This window comes from Homo sapiens, chromosome 3 (genome assembly GCF_000001405.40).
Source record: "Homo sapiens chromosome 3, GRCh38.p14 Primary Assembly".
NCBI classification, from domain to species: domain Eukaryota; kingdom Metazoa; phylum Chordata; class Mammalia; order Primates; family Hominidae; genus Homo; species Homo sapiens.
The window spans coordinates 182211426-182227400 of NC_000003.12; the positions used below are offsets into that span (position 1 = coordinate 182211426).

At 37.4% G+C, this 15975-nt stretch overlaps 2 annotated features.

The window, feature by feature from the left end:
* Positions 853-2052: an enhancer, noted in NCBI's record as "P300/CBP strongly-dependent group 1 enhancer chr3:181930066-181931265 (GRCh37/hg19 assembly coordinates)". NCBI's record gives its function as "activates an origin of replication core promoter dependent on BRD2, BRD4, P300/CBP, MED14 and CDK7 cofactors, with strong dependence on P300/CBP, by STARR-seq in HCT116 cells {active_cell/tissue: HCT116}" and the evidence as "EXISTENCE:reporter gene assay evidence [ECO:0000049][PMID:35650434]".
* Positions 956-1457: an enhancer, noted in NCBI's record as "NANOG hESC enhancer chr3:181930169-181930670 (GRCh37/hg19 assembly coordinates)". NCBI's record gives its function as "activates a minimal SCP1, AML or CMV promoter by ChIP-STARR-seq in naive H9 embryonic stem cells {active_cell/tissue: H9 hESC(naive)}" and the evidence as "EXISTENCE:reporter gene assay evidence [ECO:0000049][PMID:30033119]".

Sequence of the window (15975 nt, forward strand, 5' to 3'; positions counted from 1 at the left end):
TGAATCACTTTCAACTATTTCCAAAATCAAATTCAACTTCAAAGAGTGAAGCTTTTACTGGTGATATTTAGACCAACAAGGCATAGTTTCCACAAGAATTTTTTTAGAAATGAAAGAAAAGAGAGAGTTCTGGAAGTGTTAAGCCACAGCAAAATTTGAAATAAGTATAGAGCATACATAGGTGGCTACTTTAAGATGGACTGGATTCATTTACATGCATAGATTCTTCTGTGTTTTTTAAAAATTTGTCATTAGACCATAATAACATAGTGTTTTATAATTCAGGTTCTAAGGTCAGACTGTCTGGATTTAAATGCCGGCTTCATCATGTATTATCTGTGTGTGACCTTAGGCAAGCTGGCTAACCTCTCTCTGCCTGGAGTTTCTCATCTGTAAAATGCAGACAATAAGAGTACCAATGTTGTAGGGTGTTCTAATAATTAAATAAATTAGTATTTGTAAAGCATTTTACATTGTGCTAGAACATAGGAGGAAATCAATTATTAGCTATTGCATCATAGGTCTTGATTAATGACCATTAATTTTCAGCAAATTGGCGCTGTAACTATATTTTTATATTCTTAAATCTTACTAATTTAGTTGATGGTTGTTATCTTCATTAGGCACTACTAAGATGTAAAAGCAAGATTTGTTCAGAGATGAATAAAGTGAAGAAATATATTTATATTTACTTTTTTGTTTTTACAACCAAAAATTGAGTGTCCTTTGAAAAGAAAAAAGTCTCTGAAGGCTAAGGTTTCTGACAACATTCAACTAAATAAGCCCCAAGGCTGGGAAAGGAATTAGAGTGGGCTAATTCACCAACTGTTATGGACCTCAGTCCCTCACATATATCCAAGCACAGAGAGAAAAGTGAGAAATATCATTACCAAGTGTATATGTTACAGTAAAATGACATACATAGAATTTTTTTTTCTAAATGTTTCAAATAAACACAACATTTTCTAATTATTCAATGACAGGTTTTACCTTTAAATTTCTAAGCTGTAGCACACTCCTGGGCTATAAGTAAATATGCACACACACACACACACATACACACACATATTTTTAACTATTATACAGTCAAATTAAGTTGGCTGGAACTACTGAGTAATCCCATGAATTAATGAGGTAAACATTTGCCCCCACTGGGATGTGGAAGACTTCCAGGACTCCCAAGCTTACACCTGCAGAAACCGATGATTCACCTCTGAGTCACTCGGCAAACGTTAGCAAGGAGAAGCCAGCTGGGATACAGGGGATGCACTTGGCTGCTGGCTCTCTCTCGCTCTCCTGGAATAATGACATTAATGACACTTCCAAACAGCTCACCCAGTCACAAAGTGGGAGATTACAAAATCCATGTGGCAGCTGATTTCCTAATAGGAGGCATTAAACAGGACATTGCATGTTTTATGGGCTAGGGTTGATTAGACTATAAGACTTAAAATATGTAGCTAAAGTGGTTGAAAAATAGGCCTTGGAAGTTCAGATCAAAGCATTACAGAGGGGTGATTAGATAAATAAAAAGTTTAAGCCTAACTGAGCAAATAATTGCACATCCCCTGAAAAGCTCAGTTCACAGGGATTGATCAAATGTGAGTCACCCCAGGCACAGATGTCTTTCTAAGAATATTTCTTTTAATTTTTTTAATGTACATCAAAAGAAAAAAAAATCTGGGCACTGACCAGCAAATACTCCTGTTTGTATAAGAAAAGCCTCTTTAAGATACTGACAAATATATATATATATATTCCTCATTGTTTAAATAGGCCATTTTTTTTCCTTTCTCTTCCTTCTCAGTCTATAGTAAAAGGTTTTACCTGTTTTAACACAGATTGAGAGCTCATCTAAGAAAATTCTAAAATATTTCTGGAGTCTTATCTTGTCCATTATTATATAGAAGTTAGATTCAGGTTTATGTTAAAAGCATGTACTGATATTTTTTTCCTAAAGAAAAATATACCACTGGAGAGACTTATCTTCATCTAGTTAAAAAACAAAAACATTTGCTAAGCTTATTTGTGCATTGGTATGTGCCAGACAGAACTTATCTCATTTAATCCCCATGAAAATGCTCAAAGGCAGGTTTTCATATTTCTGTTTTATATGTGATGAAATGGAAGCACACTTACAGATTAAATAACCTGTCCAAAATTGCAAGGCTGGGAATTGGCAACGCGGAGCATGAGCCAAGACCTAACAGTGGGCTTTTCCCGCCTAAGATCACTTCTTACAGTCATTCTCTAGCGTCCACAAATCTGCAGTACTACCTAGATTTCAAACATTTCTATGAGCTGATCTTCACTGCTTTTTTTGAGGCAAGACCCCAGTATTATTTCTTATTTTGCAAAAAACAATCTGACGTAGAGATCACGGCTTTCCAAAAACTACATAATAATACCAGACAGATGAACACGTTGATGTGCACTCACAGCCATTAGGTTTCAAGTCTGTGATTTGGCCATCAGCCCCTGTGGCCGGGTGACCAGGCAAAATATTTTGGTAGCTGGATTTCTTGGTGAGCTCTTGTCCCTGCCCCAGAATCAGCAGTTTCTTTGGGAGCAACATTTGTCTTATTATAATAAACCCAAGAAAATGGTGATCAGAATTATTATTGATGATATTTGACAACTTATTTACATACCACTCATAGCTAACACTCTTTTTTTGGTATTAACACTTCATTTGTTAGAAATTTTTTACTCAGAAGTTTTAACAATGTTAAAAACCAGAATTTTGATAATTCATTCCACCAAATCAAAGAAAATAAACATGTCTGCTTTCACATATGTTACCATGAAGATTTGTCAAGAAATATCTAAATAACCTCAAGAAAAATTAGGGGAAAAAATAAACATATTTTGAAAACGTAATTGTGGGGCAATTCCTTTCTCTTTTTTCATTTTTATTATTATAAAATATCTAAAACAGAACCATGTACCTTTAACTCATACCAAATCAATAACAGATATCATCTTTCAATTTTCTGCCTTACCTACCTCTTGGCTTAATATGTTCTGTACATTGCTTCCCATTCACAGAAAGGGTGCAGGGCTGGGTTTTGTTTGTTTGTTTGTTTGTTTGTTTGTGCAGAGATGATCATAGATTGAGCTACATGTATGCAACAGTTTTGACAAGGAACCAGAGAAGTAGCTGGCCAGCCGCCTGTGGTACATGCGGTCTCACTCATATGAGCTGGCTTTCTACCAATTTCTAGAACTGGAAATACTCAAAGACAGAGCAGATCAGTGGAGACAAGCAGAATGTAGGTTGGTGTTCCTTGTAGGGCTGCACCCCAAAAGAACAAGCAGAGGAATCAGGTGAAGAGGGAAGCAGGCCGATAAAGGATGAGAGACACACAGAGATGAGGGGGATCGTGCAGCCTCGTGGAAAGAAATGTTTTCTTGATTACCGACTACCTTCTAGGTGCCTGTTCTATGAGACCTGCCCATAATTCCCACCTATGGGTCCAATGACATTTCCTGTATTTTCACACTAACAGCACCCAGGAATACCTTGATTTTTCTACTTGAAAGCTAGTTTGGGTTCTAACACTCTTTCTGAAGTTTGTTTACTCAAATATTTCTGCAACAGGTTGTTGCTTTATATTTCAATTTCCCCTCAGACAGAAAGGGGCAGGGAAACAGCTTAGCACACAGAAACTTTGAGAAAGTTGCTAAGCTCCCTGAGCCTCAGTTTCTTCACTGCTAAAATGGTATTAGCTCATAGGGTATTGTCTTAGTTCACTTCGGCTGCTGCAACAAAACACCACAGACTGGGTTGCTTAAACAACAAAAATTTATTTCTCACAGATCTGGAGGCTTGAAGTCCAAGATCAAAGTACTGGCCACTTCAGTCCCTGGTGAGTTCTGTCTTCTTCCTAGCTTGCACATGGCCATCTTCCTGCTGTATCCTCACATGGCAGGACAGAGAGGAGAGAGAGAGAGCGAGCTCTGGTCTCATTTTATAAGGGCACCAATCTCATCGTGAGGGCATCATGTAAACCTTATTACCTCCCAGAGGCCCTGCCTCTTTATACCATTGCATTGGGAGTTAGGGCATTGACATGGGAATTTGGGGGAGGACATAAACAGTCAGACCATAACAGGTACCACCAGTAAAGCAACTGGCAAGAGCTCCATAAATGTTAGTCATTATTACTGTCACTCAGATACCAAACTTAAGGAAACAGATGATATGACAATAAAGAGCGTCTGTTTACCCATCTTGACAAATATCAAGAGACAAGCATTTATTGTGCCAGATGCTGAAAGACACAAATAAGAATAAGGCAAAGTTGCTTCCCCTCAAGGAGCCCCTGGTCTCCTGTGCTCTTTGGAAGACTCTGCTCCAGAAGACATCCTGCTCTCCTTGAGGACCACCCTCTGTTTTGCAGGGAAGGTGACTAGCTATGGAAAAACATCCATGACAGGCCTGGAACACACACCTGTTGCACAACTATAAAAGCCATTAGACAGAAGTCATTAGACAAGCATTCAAATTCCAGTTGTTGTAGTTACTGCCTGTGACTTTGGCCAAGTCACTTAACCTTGTTCAGTTCAGCTTTCTTCTCTATGGAATAGGAATAATATTTATTCATTTTTTACTTTAAAATGTTCATGTTTTTATTACTATTGCATCAAAAAAGATGCTTATCTTGCACTTTACAGTGTGGTGCCTAAGAAGGAGACAGCTGTGCACAGCATGGGGACTGCAGAGTCCATGGGGTGAATGTGGAATCATCACCACCACCATCATCATTATTGTATTAGTTCATTCTCACCTGCCATAAAGATACTACCTGAGACTGGGTAATTTATAAACAAAGGAGGTTTAATTGACTCACAGTCCCACATGGCTGGGGAAGCCTCAGGAAACTTACAATCATGGCAGAAGGGGAAGCAGGCACCTTCTTAACAGGGCAGCAGGAGAGAGTGTGAGTGTGTGAAGGAGAAACTGTCAAACACTTACAAAACCATCAGATTTTTCACTCACATAAGAACTCACTTGCTAGCATGAGAACAGTATGGGGGAAACCACTCCCATGATCCAATCACCTCCCTCCCACGACCTGTGGGGATTACAGGTTCCTCCCTTGAGATGAGATGTGGGTGGGGACACAGAGCCAAACCATATCAATCATGATTTACTGTATATCATACCCCATATATGTCATATCTAACAACTACAACCCTAATTTGCAGAGTTATTGTGAGAATTAAATGAAATGTATGTAAAATCAGCTATCTGTAGTTATCTCATACAAGGACTCAATAAATGTTCTTAAAATAAACATAACCAAATCAAGCATAGTCCCTTCTTGTCTGGAGGGTATGTGAGGAGAAAGGTTCTGCCCTATCAACACATTTATCTGTAACAACGGGCAGAGCTCAATAAATTGCCATAATATACTGAGGCTGTGGCTCCATGAAGACAAACTTACAAGCAGAGTGGCCGTGCATGGTGAACTTCTGTCCTTGTCCTCAGGGATCCACCAGCTGGGGGTCCTTGCAAGTCGCAGTGTTAACATTTAATGTGCTCTGGCACCAAAGATAAAGCAAACATGAAAAGTTTTTCCAGTGCTACCTAGGTTTTCACTGATTGCTTTAGAAATCATCCACATATTAAAAATGAAAAACAAAACACAGCAAGTCTAAAATAGGGTTAGTTCCTTCTCCCCTAAAGCATTTTTCCACATTCTCTTTGTCTCATGGAAATGAAGATTCAAAGGAAAGTTTCAGAAGTGATACATGCCCATTTTTTTCCCTAAATTTAGATTTGAACCTCAATGAATACTAATGGAGAGAGTGAGCCAATATAAAATAGTGTTTTTCAAAGACTGATAGAGTACCCTTCTCAGAATCAATTGACGTCTTTGTTAAAAATGTAGATTCCAGACTAGTTATCTTGACCCTCTGGGGAGGAGGCCCTGGAATCCCCACGTTTAACAGGCTTCCTGGAGGACTGACTCTCACACAAAGATACTGGAGAAACTCTGATGAATGAGGATGAAATTTTCTGAACTTATTTTGCCTGCAAACAACACCAGCTAATTTTTAAAACAAAGCAATAACAGGTTGAATTAAAATTGACAAATGAGAAGACGGAGTACCTAAAAACATTTCTGATTGAAATTCAGTTGTCCTTTGATATCTGTTTGGGACTGGTTTCAGAAATCCCCTGTGCATAGCAAAATTTGAGGTTGCTCAACTCTCTCATACGAAATGGTGTAGTATTTGCATATCACCTATGTACAACCTTCTGCACACTTTAAATCATCTCTAGATTACTTATAGTATCTATACAATATAAATGCAAATGTAAATAGTTGTTATACTGTTTTTAATGTTGTATTCCTATTTTTATTTAAAAAAATATTTTTATCTGCAGGATCCGCAGATGCAGAACCTGAGGATACAAAACCATGAGTATAAAGGGACAACTGTAGTAGCAAACTCCAATTTGCAAACAATCATTTTACCAAGTTTGATCCTAGGGCTAGTCTAAGCTTACCAATGTGTTAGGGACCATCTAATAATTTAGAAAGAAAAAAGTGTGTGTGTGCGTGTGTGTGTGCATGTATCACCATCAAGTAGACCAAAATGTTAAATAACCGCAAAACAATAGGGTCACAGAATCATGAATTACATCTCTTTGATGCATAAAAGTGCCAAAATAATCTCAATACTCAGGAAGACTCACTGTATATTAACCAATATTGTGTGCCCACCCTGCTGGACACTGCCCTAGCCCCTAACGTACAAAGATGAATCAAACATAGTTCATCTCTCCAGCTCACTAGTGCCGTGATTCTTAAACAGTACAGGCTTCCAGAGCCCTTTGAGAGTCTGATGAAACTTAAAAGGTTTTACCTCGAAAAAATGCAACAACACTTGATTTTGAATATGGTTTCAGGGGACTGGTGGAGACTTCACTTAAGAATCTCTCATCAAGAACAGGCACAGAGTACGAATTGAGGAGGCTCTGAATTCCGGAAGGTTGGTGGTGTTCCCTTCCCACAGATGTTTCAAAATAAAATTTAACTGTTTTAAAGACATAAAAATGAAGTGTTCTACATTAAAATTGCATCTTTCGAGGTCTTCTAATTGCACATTTCTGCTTTTGTTTGTTTGTTTTTTGTGTTGATGGTTTTAGTAGTTTGTTTTGTTTAACGCCTCTGCTTTGCCAGAGCCCAAAGTGTGTATTTAATTTTCCTGTGGATAATTTAGCAATAAGCTGGAGGGAAGCATTGGTCTTCACACATATTTATTACATTACAATATAGGATGCTACAAGCTCTCAGAACGATCTGGGAGTACAGAGCAGAGGGCATGGGAAGAAAGTTTCATCTCAACACAGTTATCCAAATATAAGTTCTGAGCTCAAATGGAATGTTCTATTAGTGGTGCTAAGGGAAGGAAATGACTCTCAGTTAACAGGCAGTATCCCCAGGGTGCCCTCAACAATCCCTTTGGGCTAACCAGTTAGAAAGGGCATATGTGAGGCTGGTATGGAGAACAAAAAGGGAAAGGCATTTGGGTAGCATCAGATGTTCTGTCCTGTTTTCCAACAAAAGATACCATTGAATGCCTACTAATGGTGAGGATAGGGGCAAGGTAATGTGTGAGCCAACATGAAGCTGTGGGCAAACAGAGGACAGCAATGGGGAAAGATGAATCAAGTGAGAGAAAAATCCTGCCACACAATAAAGGAATGGAAAGGGAAGTGGATAAGGCAAGGACAGAGAAAGTGGCCACACTTGGAGGACTGTGCTTTGCAATTTACCCAAATGTTGCTAACAGAACAAAGAGGCTCCCAGAGCAAAGACCCAAGTGACCTGGGTTCCCATTCAAAAAAGATTTCCATTCTTATTGTTCAAGTTATTTACCTCATAAGACATTTGTTTTTAACTCTCTCACACACACTGACCCATGTCTTCTCAATCACCATCTGCTTTCACCCAAACATCCAGAGAAGAGTTGACTGTTTATTTATACTCTGCCTGTTTCCAAAATGGATTTAAGGCAGTGGAGCCAAGAGGTAAGTCAAATTTCAATGTTAAAAATTCATCACTCTAAGATTTTTTCGTATCTTTAGCTAGACAATACCCTATCATTAGAATGTTATGTTAGGGCTTCCAACACTGTTTATATTCAGGTGCTTCTTTCTGCTTATGTAATAGAGAAAAGAGATCTCTTGTCCTCAACTCTATGCCAGTTGCTTTTAAATATTTCAAGGCAGGGTATCAGGAACCATATTTTCAGATGGAGAGTCAGCATGCATGTGAAGTTCATGGTGATAATAACTACCATTTCAAGTGTACCTGCCATTTTAACATAGAACCATATTGAGTTCTCACAACAATCTTTTAAGGAATTTATTGCTAAAATGTCTTCATTTTATTTTATTTTATTTTATTTTATTTTATTTAGTTCACATTCTATAGATGAGGAAACTGAGGACCAAAAAGGGATTTATTGACTTGCCTGAGGCACATTGCTAATAGGTAACAGGTTCCAAAGGCAGGCCTCGCTGAATTCAAAGCCCTGTGTTTTGCTTGAGAGTGCTTTTCCTTTCTGAAAATAGGGAGATGTTGGCAAAGGTGTGAAGCATCAGAGGTAGCTCTCAGTACCTGTGGCCCTAATGCAGAAATGGATACTTGCACAGAGCATTTCTTCTGAAACACACCTTTGCTATTAATCCACCCCAAGGGTTTTATTCACTCTGTCCACCTAAATGAACAAGGTTTGCTTTAGCATCACTTATGCAATGTAAACAGCATCTTTCCCCATGGGAATCTTTTTCCCGTTTGAGACTGTTGGTTCAGGCCTGGATTTGTGCATGTTTTGCCTGGCAGATCATTGCCATGAACAATTTAAGTGACTGTTCAACAGAAAGGTAAACACACTGTTTTCAAACACCAGTGTTTTCACATACCATTGCAGAAGTAAGATTATTAAATTAAGACCCTCAGCTGCAAATTTTGTTTTTTATACAGTACTTTAACTTTTTTAGGGGGTAGAAGAAGTCTGGATGTAATTCAAAGGGAAATAGGGATTTAGTAGGATCCAATCAGGAGTTAATTAGCCCTTTATATGCCAGGAGCCTATGAGTATTCTTCAACTAATCCTTGGTTCTGTAACTTGTGCCTAGAGGAATTTTGAGTCCAGGGTAAAAGTCAGAGATGCCACCAAGATTCTGGGATGAGTACTCAGAACTGCGTTAGCAAATCAGCTCTTTTGTGGAATGTTCCCCTGTTTCCACATGAATTGACATGGCTTTGTATTTCACCAGCCATTCTCTTCTAAGTTAGTGACTGAGCAATGGTTCTCAAACTGTTTCTAAAAAATGAAAGAGGGACTTCCACTCCCCTCACCAATGCCTGATATGAATCTTTTGCTCATTATCCATTTAAGAACATCTTTATCTCAATAAAAATAGTGATGTTTTCAACAAAAGATTATTTTTCTTCCCAACCATAACCAACATCAACTCAAAGTCTACTCCCTATGGCTTGTGAGCCTGGATCAAAGATGCTCCTTTCAAAAACCAAAGCCTGTAATACACAGGTTGACAGAGCCGTAAACTTGAAGACAGGCAGGGCCGCACACAGAGACAGGCACTCCATAACAGTTTTAATGATAAATACGACTGATTGAGATGGATTGACTGCCAATTTTTGGCCACTTTTCATTTGTTTGTGGAAAAATCTTAAAACATAAGTTAATATATATTTCTTACAGAAAATTTAGAAAATGGAGATAAAGAAAAACATGAAAATTCTGTGTCCTGCTACACAAAGGTAACCACAGTTAATATTTCAGTATAGTATATTACCTTCCAGGCTTTTAAGAGACACATAATGTATATTTTATATGAAAACAGATCATGTCATAGGTGATTTTTTTAAAATCCAAGGTTTTTAAAAATCACTTTATAAAATAGCATGAGCATCTTTCTATGCCATTAAAAGTTCTTTTATAACATCATTTTTCTGTCTTTATAGTATTCCATTTTGCATAATTATTTATTGTAACAGGAAAATATGAGTGTCTATTCTTTTCATAACCTCAAAGACAGAGTATTATCTCTTTTTAACGTTTTTCTAATTAGGCTGACAAAAGAGAAATATGATTTTATTTCTCATGACTTTGATTCTTAGTAAAGTTGATTATTCCTATATGTCTATTTGTATTTCCCACTATAATTCTCACATTTGCATTTCTCACTATGTATTGCTTATTTATTTTATTTGCTCACTTTTCAATGGGTTTATGAAAGCCCCTTTGTAGTAAGACTACTAGTCATTTTTTCTGTCATCTGTATTAAACATTTTCTTCAATTTGTTCTTTGGCTTTTGTTTATTTATTTGTTTGTTTTAAACTTTTTATTTTTGAACAGTTTTATTTATGGGAGAAGTTCAAAAGTAGTACAATGAGCTCCCACATATCCTTTATCTGGATTTCTCTGTTAACTTACATAATCACAATGCCATTATCAAAATTAACATTGGTACAATACCATTAACAAAACTATAGACTTTACTTAGATTTCACCAATTTTTTCCACTATATTTTTCTGTTCCAGGATCCAATCCAGAATACCACGTTGCATTTTGTTGTCATGTTACCTTAGTCTCCTCTAATTTATAACAATTTTAATCTTTCCTTAATTTTCATGACCTTGACACTTTTGAAGAGTACTTGTCAAATGTTTTGTAGAATGTCACTCAGTTTGAGTTTCTCCACTGTGAAGTTACCATTTTTCTCTTTCCATATTCAACTGTTAGAAGAGAGTCCCTAAATCTACTGTACTGGAAGAGGAGGTGAGCTAATCTCCACCTTCTAGAAGGAGGAATATCAAAGAATTTGTGGAGATATGGTAAAACTAGCACATTAAGTAATAAACATTAGGGAGTGGAGATAATTTGAGGTTAGGGAAATGTTCGGTTTCTCATTGAAGTTTCACCCACTAATTTTAGCATTCAGTACTGGATCTTGCTTAGAGAAATTATTACTGTGGAGTTCTAAAGGTAATTTTCTATTTGTCCTCATTGCTTCTACATTTATTTATTTTCATTTAACTTTTATTGTAAGTTCAGGGGTACATGTGCAGGTTTGTCACATAGGCAAACTTGTGGCATGGGGGTTTGTTGTACAGATTATTTCATCACCTAGGTATTAAGCCTAGTATCCATTAGTTACTTTTCTTGATCCTCTCCCTCCTCCCAACTGCCACCCTCTGACAGGCCCCAGTGTGTGTTGTTCCCCTTTTTGTGTCCATGTGTTCTAATCATTTAGCCCTACTTATAAGTGAGAACATGAGGTATTTGGTTTTCTGTCCCCGTGTTAGTTTGCTAAGGATTATGGCCTCCAGCTCCACTCATGTTCCTGCAAAGGACATGATCTCGTTCTTTTTTTTGTCGCTGCATAGTATTCCACGGTGTTTATGATTTTCTTTATCCAGTCTATCATTGATGGGCACTTAGGCTGAGTCCATATTTTTGCTATTGTGAATAGTGCTGCAATGAACATATGTGTGCATGTGTCTTTATAACAGAATAATTTATAATCCTTTGGGTATATATCCAGTAATGGGATTGCTGGGCTGAATGGTATTTCTGTTTTTAGGTATTTAAGCAATCATCACACTGCCTTCCACAATGTCTACACTAATTTACACTCTCATCAACAGTGTATAAGCATTCCTTTTTCTCCACAACCTCATCAGCATGTTATTTTTTGACTTTTTAATAATAGCCATTCTGACTGGTGTGAAGTAATATCCCATTGCAGTTTTGATTTGCATTTCTCTAATGATCAGTGATGTTGAGCTTTTTTTCATACAATTGTTGGCCACATATACGTCTTCTTTTGAAGTGTCTATTTATGTCCTTTGCCCACTTTTTTATGGGGTTTATTTTCTTGTAAATTTGTTCAAATTCCTTATAGACTCTGGATATTAGACCTTTGTCAGATGCATAGTTTGCAAAAATTTTCTCCTATTCCATAAGTTGTCTGTTTATTCTGTTGATAGTTTCTTTTGCTGTGCAGAAGCTCTTTAGTTTAATTAGATCCCATTTGTCAATTTTTGCTTTTGGCATCTTCATCATGAACTCTTTGCCTGTGCCTATGTCCTGAATGGTATTGCCTAGGTTGTCTTCCAGGGTTTTGTAGCTTGGAGTTTTACATTTAAGTCTTTAATCCATGTTGAGTTAATTTTTGTACATAGTAGAAGGAAGGGGTCCAGTTTCAATCTTCTGCGTATGGCTACTCAACTATCCTAGCACCATCTATTGAATAGGGAATCCTTTCCCCATTGCTTGTTTTTGTCAGGTTTGTTGAAGATCAGATAGTTGTAGGCGTGCAGCCTTATTTCTGGGTTCTCTATTCTGTTCCTTGGTCTATGTGTCTGTTTTTGTATGAGAACCATGCTGTTTTGGTTATTGTAACCCTGTAGCATAGTTTGAAGTTGGGTAACATGATGCCTCCAGCTTTGTTCTTTTTGCCTAAGATTGCCTTGACTATTTGGGCTCTTTTTTGGTTCCATATGAATTTTAAAATCGTTTTCTCTAGTTTTGTGAAGAATGTCAATGTTAGTTTAATAGGAATAGCATTGAATCTATAAACTGCTTTGGGCAGATGGCCATTATAATTATATTGATTCTTCCTATTCATGAACATGGAATGGTTTTCCATTTGTGTATGCCATCTCTGATTTCTCTGAGCAGCAGTTTGTAGTTCTTCTTGTAGAGATCTTTTACCTCCCTAGTTAGCTATATTCCTAGGTATTTTAATCTTCTTATGGCAATTGCAAATGGGAGTTCATTCCTGATTTGGCTCTCAGCTTGACTGTTGTTGGTATATAGGAATGCTAGTGATTTTTGCACATTGATTTTGTATCTTGAGACATTGCTGAAGTTGTTTATCAGTTTAAAAAGCTTTTGGGCTGAGACTATGGGGTTTTCTAGGTATACGATCATGTCATCTGCAAACAGGGATAGTTGGACTTCTCTCTTCCTATTTGGATGCCTTTTATTCCTTTCTCTTTCCTGATTGCCCTGGCCAGAACTTCCGATACTATGTTAAATAGGAGTGGTGAGAGAAGGAATCCTTGAATTGTGCTGGTTTTCAAGGGGAATGCTTCCAGCTTTTGCCCATTCAGTATGATGTTGGCTGTGGGTTTGTCATAGATGATGGCTCTTATTATTTTGAGGTATGTTCCTTTAATACCTAGTTTATTGAGAGTTTTTAACATGAATGGAATTTTATCAAAACCTTTTTCTGCATGTATTGAGATAATCATGTGGTTTTTGTCTTTAGTTTTGTTTAAGTGATGAACCACATTTATTGATTTATGTATGTTGAACCAACCTTCCATCCCAGGAATGAAGCCTACTTGACCATGGTGGATAGGCTTTTTGATGTGCTGCTGGATTCAGCTTGCCAGCATTTTGTTGAGGATTTTTGCGCCAATGTTCATCAAGGATATTGACTCAAAGTTTTCTTTTTATGTTGTATCACTGCCAGGTTTTGGTATGAGGATAATGCTGGCCTTATAGAATGAGTTAGGGAGGAGTCCCTCCTCCTCAGTGTTTTGGAATAGTTTCTGTAGGAATGGTACCAGCTCTTCTTTGTACATCTTGTGGAATTCAGCTGTGAATCCACCTGGTTCTGGGCTTTTTTTGGTTGGTATGCCATTTGTTACTGCCTCAATTTCAGAACTCGTTTTTGGTCTGTTTAAGGATTCAGTTTCTTCCTGGTTCAGTGTTGGAAGGATGTATGTGTCCAGGAATTTATCCATTTCTTCTAGATTTTCTAGTTTATGTGCATAGAGGTGTTCATAATATTCTCTGATGGTTGTTTGTATTTCTGTGGGGTCAGTGGTAATATCCCCCTTGTCATTTCTGGTTATGTTTATTTGTATCTTATCTTTTTTCTTCTTTATTAGTCTAGCTAGTGGTCTATCTATTATTTTTTTCAAAAAACCAGCTCCTGGATTTGTTGATCTTTTGAATGGTTCTTTGTGTCTCTATCTTCTTCAGTTCAGCTCTGACTTGGGTTATTTCTTGTCTTTTGCTAGCTTTGGGATTTGTTTGTTCTTCTTCTCTAGTTCTTTTAGTTTGATATTAGGTCGTGAAATTGAGATCTTTCTAACTTTTTGACATGGACATTTAGTGCTATGGATTTCCCTCTTAGCACAGCCTTAGCTGTGTCCCAGTGAATTTGGTACATTGTATTTTTGTTTTCATTAGTTTCAAAGAACTTCTTGATTTCTGCCTTAATTTCATTATTTACCCAAAATTCATTCAGAAGCAGGTTATTTAATTTTCATTCTACATTTATTATATGGAATCCTTCTGTAAAGAACATATGTCCCTTCTCTCTCAAAAATACATTTTACTTCAGTGGCTAAACAATGTCCCCAAAGGCCTAACCTCTTTATCTACTCTGCTTTCTGTGCTGTCACTTTTCCTGTGATGGTACAAAGGCTCCCATGGTATATTAGTTTTCTATTGCTGCTGTGGCAAAGTACTAGAAATTTGGTGGCTTTAAACAACACAACTTTATTATCTTACATTTCTGGAAATCAAAAGTCTGAAATGTGTCTCACTGGGCTAAAATCAAGGTGTTGGCAGAGCCATGTTCCTTCTGGAGGATTTAGGGTAAAATCCATGACCTTGACTTTTCCAGCTTCTAGAGGTCACCACATTCCTGGATTCATGGGCTTCATCCTCCATCTTCAACGTCAGCAGTGTCTGGCCAAGACCATCTCATACTGCAATCTATCTGGTTCTCCCTCTTCTGCCTCCCTCTTTCACATATAAGGAAGACCTTTGTGATTACATTGGGTTCACAAGGATAATCCAGGATACTCTCTCCATCTCAAGGTCAGCTGATTAGCAAACTTAGTTACATCTGCAACCTTAATTTCCTTTTCTTGTATGATGTATCATAGTCACAGTTTCAGGAATTAGGATGAAGACATCTTTGGGAGACATTATCTGTCTATTACACAAAGCTATAAACTTTTTCATCTGTGAGCACCGTGAGAAAGAATGAAATAGAGAAAAAGAGAAAGAGAACAATTCTATCAGCCTCAATAGGTATAATACAATAGAATTAGTTTGTACATGGGACCCTGATATATAGCTCTGGGCCCTCTTTATTTTGGGGGTCAAAAGAGTTCAGTTCTGCTGAGACATTATTGAGAATTACCAGATATTCAGGGCCTAGGCTCCTTAGGTACAATTTACCCTGAGCCAAAATATCATTCTTATATTTAAGGGCTACAGACTTCAATTAATTCAAGGACCAAGGAAATAAACTATCATTCCAAACTGACCATTAAAAACAGATTTTTGAGGGGAGACCTTACTAATTCACATAACTATTCTTGATTAAATACAAGATATTCTAAAGTTCTCTTGAACCTAAAGGGAGGCGTTCAGAAACTGGCTTCTCTAGTGTTAGTTACTTTGACCTTGTTAGAAGCTGTAAACTCTTATTCTCCTTTGTACTAGGAATTTTCCCTATCTTCTCCTTTAGGTTTAGTGAGCAGTGCTAGGTAACAGGGATTTCATTTTTCTTTTATATTGTGAGTCTCTATTTTTTGTATAAAGGTTCACGTCCTCCATCTTCCTACTACCCCTCCTATTGAGGGCTCTTGTTCTACTCTGCTGCACATAGAACTAGAGGAAAACGTTCTGTTACTCCAAAAGACAACACAAAACAAAACAACTGGGCTCACCTTCTCTATTGCTTATAGCTCCCTCGAGTGGTATGACTCTTCAGTACGTGGGAAGAACAGGTCTTTGGAACCATCTAGACCTGATTTCAAATTCTGTTTCTGCTTTTTAACAACTATGTGGTTTTTGAAAAGTGAAATCTCTTGGAACTCTGTTTTCACCTATTCATAGGTTAGAGTGGTCATTGTCTTTGCCATGAAGGCTAGTTATCCATCATTGT